This window comes from Homo sapiens, chromosome 10 (genome assembly GCF_000001405.40).
Source record: "Homo sapiens chromosome 10, GRCh38.p14 Primary Assembly".
Taxonomy (NCBI): domain Eukaryota; kingdom Metazoa; phylum Chordata; class Mammalia; order Primates; family Hominidae; genus Homo; species Homo sapiens.
Genome location: NC_000010.11, coordinates 50,495,693 through 50,515,619, shown reverse-complemented (window position 1 = coordinate 50,515,619; position 19,927 = coordinate 50,495,693). Strand labels below are relative to the sequence as shown.

Here is a 19,927-nt window from a genome sequence, read left to right as displayed (position 1 = left end):
CTAGCCTTCTGTGCCAGTGGAGCCATCAGGCTCTATGGCACACTGCTCAGGCAAAGGGAAAGACATCTCATTGCCACTGCTCCAGTTCTGTTGTCCTGGGCCGGGGACTTGATTTGGCAAAGCAGTAACTGGCCCTTTGAACTTGTCAGTTCTCTGTAAATGGGTCCCTTTGAAGGTTATGAGTTGCATGATTAGCATGATTTTTAACAGAATTCACCTGAGTGCTGTTTCTTTTCCACAGTGAAGTTGGATTCTGGTCGTATCAAAACAATGCAGAGACACAGCCCAAGAGTGCTGTCTTTCATAGGTTTATGTCAGTTAGGGTGCTAAAAGGTGAGGCTTGACAGTCATTGTCAAGACAAGTGACCAGGCTCTGATGTATGACCCAGAGCAGTGTTCCTGTGTCTCCAGTACTTTAGTCACAATCGTGTTCCTCTGCAGTGAGCAGGGTTACTCATCTCTCTTTGACTTGGCACTGGGACACTTGGCCATTTGTAACATTTTGCTCCATTCTCACAAAAGATAATGAGTTAGTCTGTTTCTAAATAAGGTTTTGAAAAGTTAGGATTATTTTAATCACCTTCCTCTCCAACCTGTTCTTCCTCCTGCTCACCAGATTCATATGTGAGTGCTTGTTGTATCTTCTGTTTGATGCGTGCAAAAAATTCCTACAGAATAACTTTTTTGGCCCTTGCCACAGTCTGGGAGTTCAGAGACTGGTGCATGGGACAGAGGGAGCTATAACAGGTTCATCAGTAGCCAGACTGCCTGGGTTCAAGTTGAAGATCTACTGATAGTCTGTAGGACTTTGGTTAATCACTTAGCTTTGCTGAGTTTTGCTTTTCCCCACCTAATAACTACCTTAATCTGTTTATATGCTACAGCAGTGGTTCTTAAGCATTTTGGTTTTAGGACCCCTCTATACTTTTAAAAATTATTGAGGACCTTAAAGAACTTTGTTTATGATATCTAGCATATTGTGGTAGCAGAATAATGGTCTAATGGCCCCCAAAGATGTGGCATGACCTAGTTCCCAGTAGCTGTGAATATATTACCTTACATGGCAAAAGACTATAGATGTGATTAAGCTCAGGATCTTGAGATAGGGAGCACATCCTGAATTGTCCAGGTGGGCCCTATGTAATCATAAGAGCCATATGAGACTTTTAGCACTGCTGGGTTAGAGCATAGCCACGTAGCCACTCCTAGCTGCAAAAGAGTCCGGGAACTATGGTTCTTTTTCTGGGTATCAGTTAAAAGAACTGGCGGTTTTGTTATAAGGAAGAAAGGGAGAATGGATATTAAGGGATATTTAACAATCTCAAAGACTTATCGTGTCAAGGTTTGGTATACATGGTAGGTAGACAATCACCAGAATGTTAGTTTTTCTTCTCCTCGCCCTTTTATGAGTTTGGAAAAATGGACATTTCATTCAGACTGCATCATTTAGAAATACCTATGACAAAACACAACGACATGTTGGCACAGGCGTAATTGCCATGAACTGCATTTTTGGTATTTGCAGATAAATTATATGAAATATCTTTTTTTTGGTGCTCACAGGCAACTTTTTGATATCTTGTTTGGGTCTTTTGAACTTAACAATATGCCTCCTTTCCTTTGGTAGGAGGAAAGTTGGAATTGAAATGAGATTTAAGACTCAGCTTTGATTCATAACTATTCTTCATGGGTTTGAAAATACATGAAGTGTGACGTTTTCTTCGGGGTCATTTTGTGAACAGTCTCTGCTGGTCCCTGGCAGTGTCCTGTTGTTGAAGAATAACCCAGTTCTAGTTTCTGATGTGAAACAGCCATTAGGAATATTTGTGCTAAAGTACCTTATATTTTTAAAAAATGTTTATAAATACTATGAAACAGTCTGGGTCTAAATGGCTTAATTTTGAGCTTAATATAAACCTGAATGCTGATTTTATTAATTGATGAATATGCATTTAATGCATTTTTAGTGCTATCCTCATCTTTAGATACATTATTGTAATAGCTTTTGAGTGAATGAGGGCTTGGAGATATTAACATCCTATCTGGTCTGGAGCTATTATTTCAGTCTCTGGATTAGAAGAAGTCTTTGTGTCATTCACACCTGGGAGTGTCCATTTCCTAGCTAAACTGGTTGGGAAGGGCAGTTTTGGCTTGGGATGGGGGTGGAGAGGAAGTGTTGAAGGTAGTTTTGAAGCCTCAAAGACTCCTAGGGGGAAGGGGCACTTGTTTGGGAGCTACAACTGGTCCTTGGGGTGGCCAGAGGGCTGCACCAGTGTCTGGTGACCTTTCCAAACTGGAGCTGAAAGGGGCACTTCTACCTACTTCGCTGTTTTTCCCAGGGACCATTGAAAACCATCTTGCGGTTGCCAGTTTCTGTTTTACTTTGTGGTTCACTGTGTTACCAGGAAGCAAGGTTCTTCTTGGTTGAAACCTTAGTGAGGACAGAGAGAGTATAAGCAATTGGTGTAACTGAAACTTGAGTGACTGGGGACCTACTGGTACTTAACACCTTGCATCCAAGAAGCTCAGTGTTTTTGGAAAATAGCATTGTAATGGTAGCATTTGTTACCCACATGAGGCATACTACAAAAATTACAAGTGAAACTTGTGGAAGGATGTCCCTACTTCATTTTGTGGTGTATTTCAGCCCTCTATCTGGGAGCTCTCAGGGCTAGCTGTCTTCAAGACTTGTAGTGGGTAAGTGTGGCTGGCTGCAGGGTCCCCCATCTCCTTTCCATAGTCCATGTGTTACCCCGGGTACTGCAAGGTGGCAAAGGCCAAGGTGCTGGTTAAGAGGAAGTCCTGCTGAAAAACCAGTGGTTTTGGAAATATGAGCTGGAATAATTTTCTGATAGTTTTAAATTTATGTTGTAAAACAGTGTTTGATTTGGGAGTTCTTGCGTTTACTAATCACTAAACCATTTCTACATGTGGAAGCTCAATTAATGCAGGGCCAAGAACAGTGTCTTTTTTTCCCATAAACTCTTGGGCAGCCTGCGAACTTCCTCATAGCTGGATCAGAAGGCATTGCAGGATAGGACCCAGCCCTCATGGACTGGCAAACCCAGGTCATTGCCTTGTGCACAGAGGGACTCCAGAGGGTTTTGGAACTGGTATGTGAGTTGACGTCCTTGATCTCATTTCTTATTAATTTCCTAGCTGACTTCCATAGCAGCTGTTGCAAATACTTGCTTCTTTTTGAGCTCCTGGTCTCCCATAGCCCTGCTCTTGGCAAATGTCCATATAAACAAAGTCATGAAGACAGAGAGAGAGCCCTTTCTCTCTCTCCTTTCTGCTTCAGGGTATGTCTGGTTTTTTTTCTCTGACAGGTGCTAGCTTGGTTCTGAGTGCTATCATGTATGGAGAAGTCTTGTTTCCTACTCCCTCACACCATCTCCTTCTGTCCTGCGTCTGCCCTCTCTCAGGTGCCCAAGTACCCTGTTGCCATATTCAGCTACTCTGTGGTATGCTTCTTGAACCGGATAGCCTTCCCCATGCCTTTGATTGGTATCTTTCCTATTATGACCCATCTGTTTCACAATCCACTCCCTCAAAGCCCTACTATGGACATTGTAATCTGAAATCATACCTTGTATGTGAACATTCACTGAATGTTTATTGACATCTACTGTGTGCGTGGGAGCTGAGGGTACAGATGCCAGGAGATACGGAGATGAGTCAGACTTCTGAGATTATTAGTATAGAATGGAGAGAGAGACATGGGACAAATAGCATTAGAGATTAATGACAAAATTATGTACAGGTTAGAAGGGAAGAGGGGCAGTTTACCTTGAAGAATTTTATAAGTGTGGATCCCTCAGACAAGAGGAGAGGGTCATGCCAGAGCCAAAAGCCAGTGATGGATTACTGTGTCCCCACTTTCTGATAAGATTTCATTGTGACTCATCTAGAGCAGAGGGAGACCTCTGTAACTACAAGATCTCTAGTAGTAGCGTTTGGCTCACTGTGGCAGGTGGTTGCAAAGAACCTTTTAAGGCAGAAATAGGCCTATGGGTGTCCTAAGGTAACATCACATGGATAATTGCCAACTCTGTATATCTTTTGGGCTGGACTCTGACTTAAGGAGAAGTTAAGAAGTCTTCAGTGAATTTCTTAAGCCCTGAGCATCTTTGTATTCTGCTTTAAGAACTTGTTGGTTTCTGTGTTTCATACTCAATGGCTCTGGCACTTGGATGACCTGGTCCCACAGAAGGCCTTGAATACTGAGTCTGAGGATGGGGCTTGCTTACAAGGACCTTCCTCACTGTCTTAACCAGATTGTGTTTTAACCTTTCATCTCACTTTTTACTTTTCATTCATGGATAGTGTCTGTCACTGTGTGTGTGTGTGTGTGTGTGTGTGTGTGTGTGTATGAATGAGTGAATGAATATTTCTCACACTCTAAATTCTTTTAAAGGCAGGAAGTACTGTTCTCTTGTTTGCTATTTTATCCACTCTGCCTCTACTGGGTCTGGCATATAATAAACAAAGAGTGAACAGGACAAACACCCATTCTGAAAAGTGAACTTCTCTGGCAATTGTGGTTTGTACATACCAGCTGGAGCATAGACAATTGGCTTTTTAATGTGGTAAGGGAAAAGGTCAAAAGAAAGTCCTCATCATTTACCAAAGTGCTTCCAGCAGATGATGTTTATAATCCCAAAAGGGTCTTTTCAATACATAATGTGCTTTGATGGAACAGATTTATATCCCGATTGTGGAAATTGTTATATAAATCTATATATGAGATAAAGTTTTATAGAATTGTATGTAAAAAAACCCAAACAAACAACAAAGAACATGTAAAAACTAGTGAAATCTGAACGTGGGCTGTAGTTTATTAATAGTAATAGTATTGTACCCAGTGTCAAGTTTGTGCTTTGATAATTGTATAGTTATTACGTAAGATATGGGGAGAAGCTGGGTGAAGGATACACAGGAACATTCTACAATGTTTGTATCTTCTATGTGAGTCTAGAGTTATTTCAAAATCAAAAGTAAAAAAAAAACACAGAGATACCACTACACATCTATTAAAATAAGTAAGAAGCAAACAAACAAAACAAAAACAGATAATACCAAGTACTGACAAAGATACAGAGCAACTAGAACTCTCCTACATTGCTGGTGAGAGTCTGAGAAGATATAGCCACTTTGGAAAATAGGTGGTGTTTACAAAGTTAAACATATACCATATAAGCGAGTAGTTTCACTCTTAAGTATTTATCCAAGAGAATTGAAAACCTCTATTCACACAAAAACCTGTAGGCTAATACTTCTAACAGCTTTATTCATAACTGCTAAAACTGGAAAAAATGTAATTGTCCTTCAACTAGTGAATGGATAAACAAACTGGTATGCCTATTAATGGAATACTGTTCATCAATAAGAAAGAACAACACAACTATTTGGCTGAATCTCAAACGCATTATGTTATGTGAAAGGAGCCAAACTCAAAAGAATCCATACTTTATGATTCAATTTAAATGACATTCTGGAAAAGGCAAGAGTATAGGGTTAGAAAATAGATCATGACTGCCAGGAGCATGTGATGGGGGAGAAGATTGACTACAAAGGGCATAGGGAAATTTTTGAGATAAATGAAATGTTCTATATCTTGATTGTGGTGGTGATTACATGACTGTGTGTGTTTGTCAAAACTCATTGAACTGTACACTTAAAAGATTGGATTACTGCATGCAAATTATACCTTATTAAGTCTGACTTTAAAATAAAAACACCACCAACAAAAATAAATAATTGATGATGCACTTTGGCTTAAATACCATCAAAGGATCATTTTGTTAGCTACTTGGATAAGGATTTGTTAAGTCATTAGTTATACAGAATGCCTCATTCAAATACAAAGGTGCAGCCCTTTCAGTACTCTGGCTTCTAATTGGGTGATGGAAATAGCTATTACTATAGAGGTGGATGCTCTAATGATCTTTGTTAAACAGAATGCTGCTGGAAGGTTAAAACAAAAGCTGCTGATTCTAGCGTTAGTGGAGATAGTGTTTAGTATACAATGTGCAGTCAAATTTCACTCTATCACCTCTCCTGATTCCTTTGCCATTAAAATATTCATCACTAGAGAAGAGTTGACTTTTCAGATCCGTTTTAATCTCAGCCATAACAAATGCACTGTGATATATATATGTGTATGTATATTTTCCTAGAATGGCTTATCAAATGTCTTACTGGAAAAACCAACATGTTTGATTTGGTGGGAGGAGGAATGGCTAATTTAATCACTCTCTAAAATACAATTCACAAATGTTTACAGCAAGAATTGGAGGGTTCTAACTGGAAATTTGAAGCTGTAGAGCTCTTAAACTGTGTTTCTTGATAATCAACATCCTTTATAAATCAAAGTAAAGATATGATTTTGAAAGAAGGCTTAAATTCCAAACTCTTGGCTGTGATTCGTGGGGTTGAAGGATATAACTTCTATCCTTTTGGGACAGATATCTCAACAATATGTATAAGATTACACAGTCTTTCCCCAACAGGAAATTTCTTGTTTATTTAAAACTGGGATTTACTAAATTGGTTTGAATTTAATGCTGTTCAGTAGTCAACTCAGTTGAGCAAGCACTTACCAATAATCATTAACTAGATGCCACATCTGTGATGAGGTGCTGAGTTTACACAGGCAAATGAGCCCCAAGCCCTGTTTTTAAGGAAATTACCATCCATCAGGGTGGACCAAACCATGTACAGCCAGCTAAACTTCAGCAACAGGGGAGATCTCTAAGGAGGAAGCTATTACATAGGAGATGACATTTGAATTCAGCCTTAATGTGTTAGCAGAATTTGGTCTAGTGTGGAAGACAGAAAGCCCAAGGTTTTATGGCAGAGGCTTAAGAACTTCACCGACAACTTCTTATATTCTCCTTAGGTCAGAGCCTGGTCCAAAAGGTATAGAGAATTGGCAGTTACCCACAAGTCTGCCCCAAAGAGGTTCTTTCCAACCACCTGCCACAGTGAGTCAAACAAACTCCGCTGTTGGAGATCCTTTACTTAAAGAGGTCTCCCTGCGGTCTAGACTAGTCACAGTGAAATCCCATCAGAAAGGGGGCCATAGTAATCTATTGCTGGCTTTTGGCTAATGACTGACATGACTTCCTTTTTGTCACTTGATATTTCACTGTCATACCAAGAGAGATGTTAACCGCAGTTAACTGATGAGAAACGTGAGCTGAAGCAGCTTGTGTCACTTGCCCTAGGATGCAGCTCTAGGATTCAGTCAATGTCTGACTGTGCTGGTTTTCCACTACAGCCCATGTGGCCTACTATGAGGACATGGAGACCCCATAAACTTATGGCCCCTGAGTCTCAGCCCTCAAGTGTGGTTAGCATGCCAAAATGGTAAATCTTTGAATACTCTTGGATTGTTTAGCTCTTTAAATGTTTGAGGTGCTCTTATATACATTATCATTTGATTTTTACTTTAAAAACAACTCACAGAATAAACGACTGTAGTTTTAAATAGAGCATTGTTGTCACACAGCACCTTTGGGGAGCCCATACATTGCTTGAGGTGGTCAAAGACTGGCTGAGTTGCTGGGGCCAGTAGTAGGGAGTGGGTACATCTTTAGCAGATCCCATGAATTGTCCCTCATGGGATCTGTTGTGGGGGATTAAATGGTTCTCTTCCTGTCTCCAACTAAGCTGAGGCTTACTGTAACCAGAGGAGCCACTGGCTTGGAACCCCTGGTTGGAACATAAGTTCTCTTGGGCATTGCCATTCCAGGGTATTAGGGTATTGGGGCCTGAGGCCCCTGAGGATAGCATGAAGCCATCTGGGGACTTCTCCATGAGAACTTCTTGTCACTAAGTGCGTGTAATTGCTGATTTAGTCTAGCCTGGCAGGCCCAGTGGTTCTGGTAAGTGGTGTTATTATACCAGGCTATTGGCTGGTAGTTGGCTAATTTGAGGAAAAAAAGAGGTGGTTGGATTCTATGGTAAATTCAGTTGGATGCAAGTGATAGGATTTGCCACAGGGATCATAAAAATCAGGGTGCTGTTCAGGGTGCACAGGTGAATTCCATGGCTCAGGCCTGATTTCACTCCACTGTAGGTACAGAGTGTGATCATGTGTGCAAAATTGTGCTTTCTGCCCCTCCAGAGTGTTTGATAAAGGAATGTCCAAGCCGCCTGTATTTTAGCCTGTTTCGCTCAGCTTGGGCTGGCCTGAGCCCAGGACCTTGGTGTTCCTGGGCTTCTGTCGCTCAGAAGAGCTGCATGGGAGCTCAGAGACAAAGGGGCTTGTTGTGTGAACTCAGATCAGTGGCAGCTGCAAGAAAGAAGAGATAAAGTCCTTCTGTTTTGCTTTTGCTCAACTCTAAATGGTACTTTAGGCTTTTTATAACATTGCAGTGTTCCTTAGGAAAGCTTGACTTGACACACTTATTCTCAGGGTTTTAGGGACCCTCTGTGAGGAATGGTTTGATCTGTCAGAAGGATGGCCTGACAGGGATAGAGCTTTTGGCCAGACCTAGCTACCAATGGGCTGTGTGATCTTGTGCCAGTTGCTTCCCCTCTCTGGGCCTATAAGCCTGGGGGAGTTTGGACTAGAGCAGCTGTGTGTTTCCCATTCGGTACCAGCATTCTGGGTGCATTTGGTACTAGAACAATGGGTTGTAATGGACATGCTTTGCAGGGGTTTTGGGGCCCGACAGTATTGCTTCCTATTCCTGGGTTGAAGCACTTATTCATTTGGATCATGGTGTGGCTGCAAAGACTGGGTTCAGTTAAGTGAGGTCATGTGCGTGAAGCACCTAGCAGGGTACCTGGCACCTGGGAAGGGTGCAGCTAATGGTGGCCACTATTAACATTTAAATTAGGAGGTATGTGCTTGCTGCACTGCCTTTTTACTTCCTGTCACAGAGTAAGTGGCTCCCATTATCTTTAATTTAAAAAAATTCTGATAATTGTGGACAAGCAGCACATCCCTTTAATTTGCTCCTGGAGGAGTGACCTGTGTGATCTTAGGAGTGAGTGGGCAGCTCTGCTTTGCTGCCTTCCCTTTTAGTGTAGGATTCTGTAATATGAAATGAAACTGAGCAGACACGTGGTCTGAATGGCTCACTTAGGGACTTCATTATCTATGTATGGATTTTTCATAGCTCCTAACTTTTTTTTTTATTAGGAAGGAAATCTGTGTGGCATAGATGATGCCATGGAAAAATGCAACTGTAAATTTTCTTTGAGCAAGAACACGGAAGCATGAGAAGGAAGGCTTAATTCCTTCTCCAATATTTATTGAACTCGGCTATTTTTCAGGCACTAGAGATGCAAAAATGAGTACAATCAATATGGTCTTTGCCTTCATGGAGATTAGTTTATTGAGGCAGAGCAGACATTAAATTACAGAAATAATGATTTAATTATAGTTGTGACTAGTGCTGGGAGAAGTACAGAGTGTAGTAAGTTTAATAAGTGTGTAATGTAGGATCTACATGTAATGGGGAGATCAGAAAATTCACTCTGGGGGAATGACTTCTAGTGAGAAGTCTGAAGGGTAAGAGGAGAGTATTCCAGGACAAGGGAGATGGGGAAGGCAATTCTCCAGGAAGAAGGATGGGAAGATAGAGTAATCAGGAGGGAGAGGAAGGATCACAGCTCAGTTTCAGGCCTGAGCAACTGGGAGAAGGCTGGTGCCATGTCTGCAGGTAGAAAATGTTGGTGGATTGTGGTTTGGGTGGGAGTGGGGTCAGCCGGGCACCCTCCTTTCTCTTTAGAGGATGCTCTCCCCCCGCAGATATGGTGTGCTTTGCTCCCCATTCCTCGGGCCTCTGCTCAGATGGCCCTGTTAGGGAGACTTTCCCTGACCACTTCAGGTACATCACCCCCTCCCATCCCTGCACCCTTGGGCTCAGCAGCACCTTTCACTGCCTGATGAGCTGTTGGCTGCATATGAACTCCTTGAGGGCAGAGGTCTTTGTTTTATTCCCTGCTGTATCTATAGCACCTAGAACAGTGCCTGGCATATTAGAAGCCCTCAATAAGTACTTGTTGAAAGAATCATGAGTTTGCCTTTGGTTATAGTTTTTGTGTCCTTTTCAAACTTGAGTGACTTTTTAAATTAACCTGAGGCTGGAGAGGAGAAGGGTGTAGAAGTACTGTTCACTTGACATATCAGGTCTTTTTTAAGGCAGGAAGAATGGAAAAGATGGATTTTCTTCTTTTAAAAAATTTCAGTGTTAGGCATGATAGAACAGAGCAGCTAGAAAAATGTTTGAATATGACTTTTGTTCGTTATAAATTGGTATAAAAATCTACCCCTCTATCTGGTATTGACTAGATTTTGGGGCTAAATTATAACCTATTGTAATTCCTCTGATTGTTTCTATGGGAGGAGCTGTTGACTTTTTAATTTAATTTTCTAAATTTATTTTTGAGACAGGGTCTCACTCTGTTGCCCAGGGTGGAGTGCAGTGGCACAATCATAGCACACTTCAGCCTCTACCTCCCAGGCTCAAGCCATCCTCCCACCTCACCCTCCCAAGTAGCTGGGACTACAGGCACACACCAACACACCCAGCTAATTTTTGTATTTTTTTCTTTTTATAGAGATGGGGTTTTGCCGTGTTACCTGCACTGGTCTCGAATTCCTGGCCTCCTGCCTTGGCCTCCCAAAGTACTGGGGTTACAGGCGTGAGCTACTGCACTTGGCCAAGCTGTTGACTTTTTTATTGTATCTTTTTACTACTGGGGAGAGGTATGGAGGCTAGGATCAAAACTTCATCAAAAGGGAAATTTGAGAGCAGCAGTCGATAAAAACAATTTGTTAAGAGATATTTTTGGATCTTTGGGTCTCTGTATAGCCAGAAAGGAATAATAACTCAGAAATGTTTTTCTAAACCTTTTTGACTTTTAGAAATAAGTCAACCGCCATTACTTTAAAAAAAAAATGAACAGGATTGATGTTTGTATAGGAGGCTGTGTATATAGTGGTTACAAGTATAGCTGTTAGAGTTAGATCTCTGTTTAAATCCCTGCCTCTCCCTCCCTATTACCCCATCTTCCCATCCTTCTTCCTGGAGAATTGCCTTTTGTCACTTACTACCTGTATGAGCTTGCACAATTACTTAACTTCTTTCTTTAAAATGGATATTATCAAAATTATGTTATTTGGGGGATTAAGATAAAATAAAATTCATTTATTGTTACCATTTATAAGCTAACATAACTGATGACAGTGCTAAATGGGATTTAAAGGTAGGAACTATCTTGAGAAAGCTAAGTGTTACAAAGTATAATTAGTCCAATCCAGTGTTTCCCAAACTTACCTAAGCTTAAGAATTTCCTCAGGGCACTTATTAAAAATATAGATTCTCAGGCACCACCCGGACTTACTGAATCAGCTCTCCAGGGGAGGGGCCTGGGAGCCTAGTGAGGTAGGTAGGGTGATGACACACCCTGCATTTTCTGAGCCTGTCCTGGTTTCAGGTACCCTGCATGATGAATTCCAGATGTCTGTTTATACTTGTCAGACTGTGTCTCAATTTTCAGACAGGAGCTATGGGCACTGTTTATGTAGGCCATCTCATTCAGAATCCTCTCTCATATCGATGCAGGTAGAACATGCTTATAAAACACGAGAGGATGTGTAGCCACAAAGTTGCATAGTGTCAGTCAGCGTAAATCACTCAGCTAGCCTGGCCTTCATTTTTTCTCTGTACAAAACTTCTACGATCTTGATAATCTGCTCTGTTAAGTGCAGACAGTGACGTGGTCAACATATGTTGACAGCCCTCTGTCTTGCCCAGTCTCTCAGGCCCTAGTGATATCAGGCTGTCAGAGTGACAGTGCCTGTGGACTGTGTCTGCACGGGGCAGTGAACCCTAGCCTTTGTCGTCTAAGGCCAAACCCACAGAACTGCTCTTCTCTCCTCCACGAGCTGGGAACTTTCACTCATATCCGTGTGAAGAGACCACCAAACAGGCTGTGTGTGAGCAACAAGGCTGTTTATTTCACCTGGGTGCAGGCGGGCTGAGTCCGAAAAGAGAGTCAGCGAAGGGAGATAGGGGTGGGGCCGTTTTATAAGATGTGGGTAGGTAAAGGAAAATTACAGTCAAAGGGGGTTGTTCTCTGGCAGGCAGGAGTGGGGGTCACAAGGTGCTCAGTAGGGGAGCTTTAGAGCCTGGATGAGCCAGGAGAAGGAATTTCACAAGATAATGTCATCAGTTAAGGCAGGAACCGGCTATCTGGATGTGTACATGCGGGTCACAGGGGATATGATGGCTTAGCTTGGGCTCAGAGGCCTGACAGGAACTAGGGAGCAAGGTCTCACTCCGCTACACTTAGGACAATTAGCGTGTTCCTAATCAGCTCTTCTAGAAAAACAGCATTTTGCTGTTTTCACATAAGCCTGCAAGTTCATTTTCCCTCTCTGGCCCAGGTAGTAAGTAATCATTTCCCCATCAGTGACAAGGGAAGATGAACATCTAAAATTTTACTCCCAGGGCTGAGCTTTCTGTAGACATTACAAATAGAGTTCACATGTCTTTAAGGAATAAAGGATTCTCACATTCAGTTAAGGTGGTTCTTCCCATGCTAGGTAGGGTTGGAGAAAATGATTCTTTGGAGATTTAAGGAATTTTCTCTGGCAGCCATTTTTTGTATCGGTCATGGTTTCATATGATATTTTATTTCACTACATTTTGGGTTGTGCTTAACTGTATCTTTCTTTCTGTTTGCATCATGGGAGAGATTGGATCTGTGCTGAGAATTTTTTTTGGGTGATACGTTCATTTTCTGACCAGTAACAAATCAGTCCACTTTTGGGGACTATTTTTAAAATGGAAAAGTTGATGTACATTTATAAAGTTGCAAATTTTTACTTCCTTTAGAAAAAGGCTGTGAGGTCTTGAGGGCATCCACATAAATACATTTGATGTTAGAGACCTGGGGACTGAAAAGGAAAGTATTTCTTCTTCTTCTTTTTTCCCTAATATTTTCCTGTGACAAAATTTTGTATCTGCACAATTTTAAAGAGTAGAATACTAAAATTTTGGTGAATTTAAGAACAAACTCATTAGGAAAATGTGAAATGTGGGCAGATATTTGCTGCTCTGTGGGTATGCCTAAAAGACTAAACTTTCCAGATAGAGAGAAGGGTAGGGTCAGCATGCTGGTAAGTTTGTTTTCTTCCCTTCCATGGGCAGGTAGAAGGAACTGGGCTCTCAGTGGGATGGCACCTCTCCTCTCCCTTACTTCCCTCGGAAGCTCAGTTAGGGAGGAGCCTGGACCAGTAGTGTTCTTTACTGACTTCTCCTGCTGTGCTGGTTTTTTTTTTTTTTTTTCTTTCCTCATTTGTAAATCATCTTTGTGTGGGGAGAGGCTGGAGGTGGAAATTCAAGAGTCATCTTTTTGCAGGCAGTAGAGATGATTACCTAGGTAAGCAGTTTTGATCAGTTATAGCTACAGATAGCTATCTTGTCAGGTGAGAGGCCTCTGGGGGAGGAGGGACTTTGTGGCAGAACAGCCAGGGGCCTGGGCACTCAGTTCCTGTTGACAGCCAGCAGGCAAGGCCAACCCCACATATTTCTAAATTGCAAACACAGTACATTGTGGAAACATAGTCTCTGTCCACAAGGGAGGCCCTCTGCTCAAAGAAACAAATGAAAAAAAACCCAACTCCTCCCTTTCCCCAGCAAACATACAACAATGATGGACAGTGAAGCAAGATGTGCAGTTTGGCTGAATACCCATACTTAAAATTTTAATTGTTTTTATAATCATGTCTTATTATCTAAAAAGTAATTTAAGAATTTTTCTTAGGGTTTCAATGATACCATGAATTTTAACATCTTACCACATTGTCTAACCTCTTTGAAAGTAGGGCCCTAATCTTGAGGTTTCTGGAAACTCCTGTGGCACCAAACATAGGACAGAACGCCCTATCAGGACTCAGAGACAACTTGTTGAATTAAAGTATGACTCACTAGATTTATGTAGGTGGAATTCTTCACTACTTGCCTTGTGGGTGTTCACATTTTGTCCATATTCATGATGTTTATTTACAAGCTGTTTTAGCTCAAGAATTGCCTGCTAATTTTTTTTGGTCTGCGTGTGAATCATATAGAATTATCTCTGCAAATTAATTTCCTTAATGAACTCAGAAAAGAGGAAAAAATCAAACGTATTTCACCAAGCATTCTACCTACTTAAAAATGTAACAGAGTACTTTTGTATATAATATAAAGTTTTATATAAAATGTAGAAAATACATAATGGAAATAGTTGCCTTTTTAAGTTTTAGATAATTGTGAACCCCTTTCATTCGCTGTTAGGATGATAGAGTTTGTGGACTTGTCCTTCTCTCCTTTCTCTGTTCCTCAGAATTGAAGGACTTCACAAGGGAGATGCTGGTGTGCTGGAAAAGAATGAGAATTTACTCCAAGTAGGATTAGGGGGCATGAGTGAGGGTACCACAGAAGGGCACATTTGGGGGAAGTATAGATATTATTGCCAGAGCATAAATTGCAGGAGAGGATGACATGGGATGAGAGGGAAGGAGGCCATTCCTTCTGGCTGGCCCCCATAATCACTGAGACCCAGGGTTGATAGATACTCATAATGTGACCCTGTGTCTTCCCAGCATTGGTTAATTGGTTCTTTGGAAAATCAGATGAGATCCCTTATTACTCTTGAACTACCATAGAAATATTTAAGATTACATGCCCATATACCTTAGTTACTGAAATTAAAGAGTAATTTTAAAGAATTTTAATGGAACAATGATTGCAACAGAAAGAATTTCCTGAGCTAATAAACCTAAACTAATGCCATTATCAAGGCATCCTGATGTTTTGAACCATGTCTCTGGGTGGATGGAAGAAAAAAGTTAGTATGGACTTACGTTAGCCAAGGTGGTAGTCCTGAAGCCAGTAACATAATTAAGGTTTTGGAGTGCTATTTCACATGAATATTTCTCAGTGGAGTATATGAATAAAGTTAATGTGTCACAACTTTAAGGGTCAATTTAAAGTGCCTTGTAATATTAATGGAACCCAAATCAGAATCCTTATGTAGAAATTAAAGGTGTCAATGTAAGTGCTTAGAAAAATGCGTGGCACACACACTCATAGAGGGTCTGGAAGTGTTTTGATGGTGAATTAGTACCCTTTTGGTTTAACCTTTATTTTAAAACCGATTTTCATTTATTTGATTTCTTTAAATGAGAAGTAAGCATATATCTTCTTTCACAATTGCTTCAGGTTCCCAATTGTTTTATATTTTACTGTAATTTATTAGTAAATTTCTATAAACAGAACAGCAGCTATTTGATGGCAGTTTGGGTTAAGTGATTTCTGAGACTTTCCCATAGATTCTTTGAATTTAAATGAGAAGCCTGATAAAAATTCCAAGTTAAAGATACCCAGGAAATCTACAACAGATCAAGCTTGTTTTTTTGTTTGTTTGTTTGTTAGTTTGTTTTTGAGATGGAGTCCCGCTCTGTCACCCAGGCTGAAGTGCAGTGGTGCAATCTTGGCTCACTGCAACCTCCACCTCCCGGGTTCAAGCGATCCTCTTGCCTCAGCCTCCTGACTAGCTGGAATTACAGGCACATGCTACCACACCTGGCTAATTTTTGTATTTTTCAGTAGAGACGGGATTTCACCATGTTGGTCAGGCTGGTCTCGAACTCCAGACCTCATGATCCGCCCGCCTTTGCCTCCCAAAGTGTTGGGATTACAGGCGTGAGCCACTGCGCCAGGCTGATCAAGCTTGTTTTTTAGATACAATATGTGAATTTAGCCTAAGCCATACGTTTAAAATATAGCCATTTGGCATTAACTTTTTAATTAACTAATCAAGAGAAGAGGGAAAACCAATCTTGTCTCACAATGTGCACTCTACCTTTTTGCTGTAACTAAATTAAGTATAACTTAAAATATATGACAAGTTCTTGTTACCACTTTTTCAAACTGAAAAAAGGTATAATTTTGTGATATGCTACCACTGTTTATTGTCCTACCTGAATATCCTGCCTTTGGGAAAAGAATATTTATGTTTATAATTTGTATATAAGAAAATACTATCTTGTCTACAGTGACAATCTTGAGGTTTGGTGAGTATATATATGAATTGTAAAACAGGGTCATCTGGGAGTAGTTGAGGAAAGGATATGTATATTTCAATGCTAAAGAGACCTTTTTGTGACTTAACTTTTAGTGGTATACCAGCAATAATGAGACTTTCCTCCTCCTTATCATCATCTGTCTTTCTTTAAGTGCTTCTTAGGAGCCAGAGAGCATGCTAAGTGCTTTGTACAATTTCGTAAGTGAATTCTCCCAAGAACTTTAAGAAATGGATATTCATAGCTCCATTTCACCAATGAGAAAACCAAGGCTTAGGGAAGGTACTTTGCTTCAGAAGTAGCTGTTTCATATTTGAATACAGGATGGTTTTGTGTCCAAAGCTTTATTTTTAAAATTTAATCTCAGCTGCTATTATTAAAATTACCTCTCAGAAAGTGAATAGTAGCATACTCATGAAAATCAGGTTTTCTAATATTCTTAGCCAATTGCATAGATGGGACAAAAGTTTAATTCTATTAGCCAGTTTAAAAATAAAAATACTTAAAGAATTACCAGTAGGATGGCTACTATTAAAAAACCCAGAAAATAACAAATGTTGGCCAGGATATGAAGAAATTGGAACACTCGTGCACTATTGGTGGGAATGTAAAATGGTACAGATGCTATGGAAAACAATATGACAGTTCCTGAAAAAAATTAAAAATAGAACTACCATATAATCCAGCAATTCCACTTCTGGGTTTAGACCTGAAAGTGTTGAAAGCAGGTTCTTGAAGATATGTTTGTACACCCCGGTTTATAGCAGCATTATTCATAATAACCAAGGAGAGGAAACAACCTAAATACCCATTGATGGATGAATGGGTAAACAAAATAGGATGTTTGCATACAATGGAATATTATTCAGCCCTAAAAAGGAAGGAAATTCTGACACTTGCTACAACATGGATGAACCTTGAGGACATTATAGTAAGTGAAATCAGCTAGTCACAAAAGGAAAAATACTATATGCTTCTACATATATGAGGTACCTAGTGTATTCATAAAGACAGAAAGTAGAATGGTGGTTTCCAGGGGCTGAGAGGGGAGTTACTGTTTAATAGGTACAGAATTTCTCTTTGGGATGTTGAAAACACTCTGGAAATGGATGGTGGTGATGGTTACACAACAATGTGAATGTACTTAAAGCCATAAAACTATATACTTAAAAATGATTAAGGTGATAAATTATGTTATGTATATTTTACCACAATAAAAATAATGCTTTAAAAAGAAAATAAGGATTGAAGTGATTGGTTGTGAATTCCTCTTCCCTCTGAATGATAAAAGAGATTTTATCCGATCACATCTTTCCCATGTTAAGTTACCATGATCCCCTCCCCCAAACAGCATTGCTGAAAAAGCAGGGGTGGTGGGCAAGTCATTGAGACCTTGAGTTATATTTCCCTAACTCCCAACTTGCTTGAAGTCTGTGTTCTCTTCATCTTGTCTTTTAAAAATGAGTGGGCTTTTCTTAGAAACCAAATTCCCTGGAGTGTGATATCAGCATACTTTTACTCTGAGAGTTTTTAGCAGCAGCTTTCTCAGCCTGAGAGGAAAAGCAAAATATAAAAATAACTTAGGGCTCACATTCAAATAGGTAAACAGATATGTCCAAAGTGAAACCTCTAACTGAAAGTCATGCATTTCAGTTAGGCACAGTGTTAGATGGTAGGTGGATGAATCATCTGGTCTGACCTGTCAACTGAAGGATCTGGAATTTTTTTTTTTTTAGATGAGTTTTGCTGTTGTTGCCCAGGCTGGAGTGCAATGGTGCGATCTTGGCTCACTGCAACCTCCGCCTCCCAGGTTCAAATGATTCTCCTGCCTCAGCCTTCTGAGTAGCTGGGATTACAGGCATGCACCACCACGTCCGGCTAATTTTTTGTATTTTTAGTAGAGACAGGGTTTCACTATGTTGGCCAGGCTGGTCTTAAACTCCTGAACTCAGGCGATCCATCTGCCTCGGCCTCCCAAAGTGCTGGGATTATAGGCGTGAGCCACCGCGCCCGGCCAGGATCTGGTATTTAATACTCACTTACCTTTTGGCTTCTCTTGCATAATCTCACTGGTTCTGTTCAGCTCCATATGGACAAGTTTAATATGATAGAACACTGAAGCTTGTTTGTCATGTCTTCCAGCTTTAACACTATTATGGGTTGTATAGATTGTAATTCTTGAAAAGATGAGTCCTCAACATTTCTTGTTAGTTGATAGCTATGTGAGCAGTATAGTGGTGAATGGAGCTCACACTGAAGTGCATAATGATCCTTATTAGACAACTTTGTAAGTTTGAAAATGTCATCAAAGGAGAATTAGGATCATCTGTCAAGGCTACCCTATTGTGGGGAAGAGAGGTGTGGGTGGAGGCAGAGTTCTCATCGTTAATCGTTGACACTTGGAGAGGTTTGCATCGAGCCTTCTGGACTTCATTCTAATGACAGTAGAGCTGTCTCTACATTTCAGTGTTGGAAGAAGGGTGGAGGATGACTTTACCATATCCCCCTTTTAAGATCACTTTTACCAGTGGGTGGAAGCTAGAGTGGAATTAGGGAGACCAAACAGGAGGCTGCTGTGGGTTTGTGTCTAAAGATGTTGGTAGTGACATTAGTTGACATGCATGGAGGACTACTTGGATGCCAAAAGCTTTATCCTTACTGTAGCTCTGTGAGCTATATAGATGGGTGACATTACTGGCACCATTTTGCGGATGAGGACATCCAGGATTAGAGAGGCTAAGCAGTTTGCCTAAGATCACACAGCTCATAATGAATTTGAGATGGTAGCCAGGCCTAGGTACTGGTAGAGAGGAGCTGTTTTTATTCTCCCAAAGCCATGGGATCACCTGGAATGTGATATAGGAAGGCCTAGGGTTGTCTTTAAACTGGGATCTGGGAGCCATTAGGCAGCTCTGGCCATGTCTGTTCCTACTTGGAATATATAACAGCTTCTGGACATTATTAAGTGGGCTGGCTTGTGTTTTGTTGAGGAACAGGACAAATGGGGCATTTACTAGTGCTGTGTGCCTCGTTGCTTTTCTGGGTAGTGTTTGGTGATGGGCATAGTGTGGAGTGGTGGTAGAGTACACAGTGTGATTCTGTCTGGTAAGGAAGCTGTATGTTGATGTTCACTGATGTGAATAGGTTCATACAGTCCCTTAGGCATTTGGCTGGAGGATAAAGAACAGCCATTGACCAGCAGAGTACTTTTTTTGAAGTTTATGCAAGACAGCGTGCTAGGTACTACTGCCAGCTTGACAATAAAGGCAGAAAGACATTTAGAGCCATTAAAGAATTATTTATACCAGAATACAAAAACACACTTTTCAAATGTTTTGTAGGCCCTTTTCCTGCACAGCATGTGCCTCATCTACTCAAATTTAGGAAAGGTGGTTGGTGGTTTTGCAGAGAAGCAAGGAACTGTAATATCTGTCTGCATTGGTCATGCTTATCATGTAACACACTGGATTCAGTATAAAGGAAAACCGACAGGTATGGAGTGTCTGCTGTTTTATTTTTAAAAAATTGTTCATTTTTTAATTAAAAAAAGGAAATACGTGCACATGACTTTAAAAAGCTCTGTAAACAACATAGAAGGATGCCGAAAGTGAAAATCCTCCCTTTCATCTCAGTTCTCCCTTGCCTTCCCCAGAGATAGGCCAAATTTTCTTATGTATTTTTCCATATATGTTCTATGTAGATACAAACATGTTCTGTGTATGATATGCATACTATTCCAAACTTTGCTCTTTTTTTTTTTATAATTCTTGGTGACAATTCCATATCAGCCAGAGAAATCTATTCAATTTATTTTAATGTAGTTGGACAATTTCA

The 19,927-nt window shown here is 40.6% G+C and overlaps 1 protein-coding gene across 9 annotated transcripts in view, besides 3 other annotated features; it reads left to right on the top strand.

Moving 5' to 3' along the window:
* SGMS1 (sphingomyelin synthase 1) overlaps window positions 1-19,927 on the top strand; it is a 319,585-nt gene that overhangs the window by 109,565 nt on the left and 190,093 nt on the right. The window lies entirely within an intron of this gene.
* Window positions 4,096-4,195: an enhancer, noted in NCBI's record as "active region_3363". NCBI's record gives its function as "activates an Ori minimal core promoter by ATAC-STARR-seq in GM12878 lymphoblastoid cells {active_cell/tissue: GM12878}" and the evidence as "EXISTENCE:reporter gene assay evidence [ECO:0000049][PMID:35858748]".
* Window positions 4,377-4,671: a silencer, noted in NCBI's record as "tiled region #10759; K562 Repressive non-DNase unmatched - State 7:EnhWF". NCBI's record gives its function as "represses a minimal TATA promoter and a strong SV40 promoter by Sharpr-MPRA in K562 cells {active_cell/tissue: K562}" and the evidence as "EXISTENCE:reporter gene assay evidence [ECO:0000049][PMID:27701403]".
* Window positions 6,861-6,940: an enhancer, noted in NCBI's record as "active region_3362". NCBI's record gives its function as "activates an Ori minimal core promoter by ATAC-STARR-seq in GM12878 lymphoblastoid cells {active_cell/tissue: GM12878}" and the evidence as "EXISTENCE:reporter gene assay evidence [ECO:0000049][PMID:35858748]".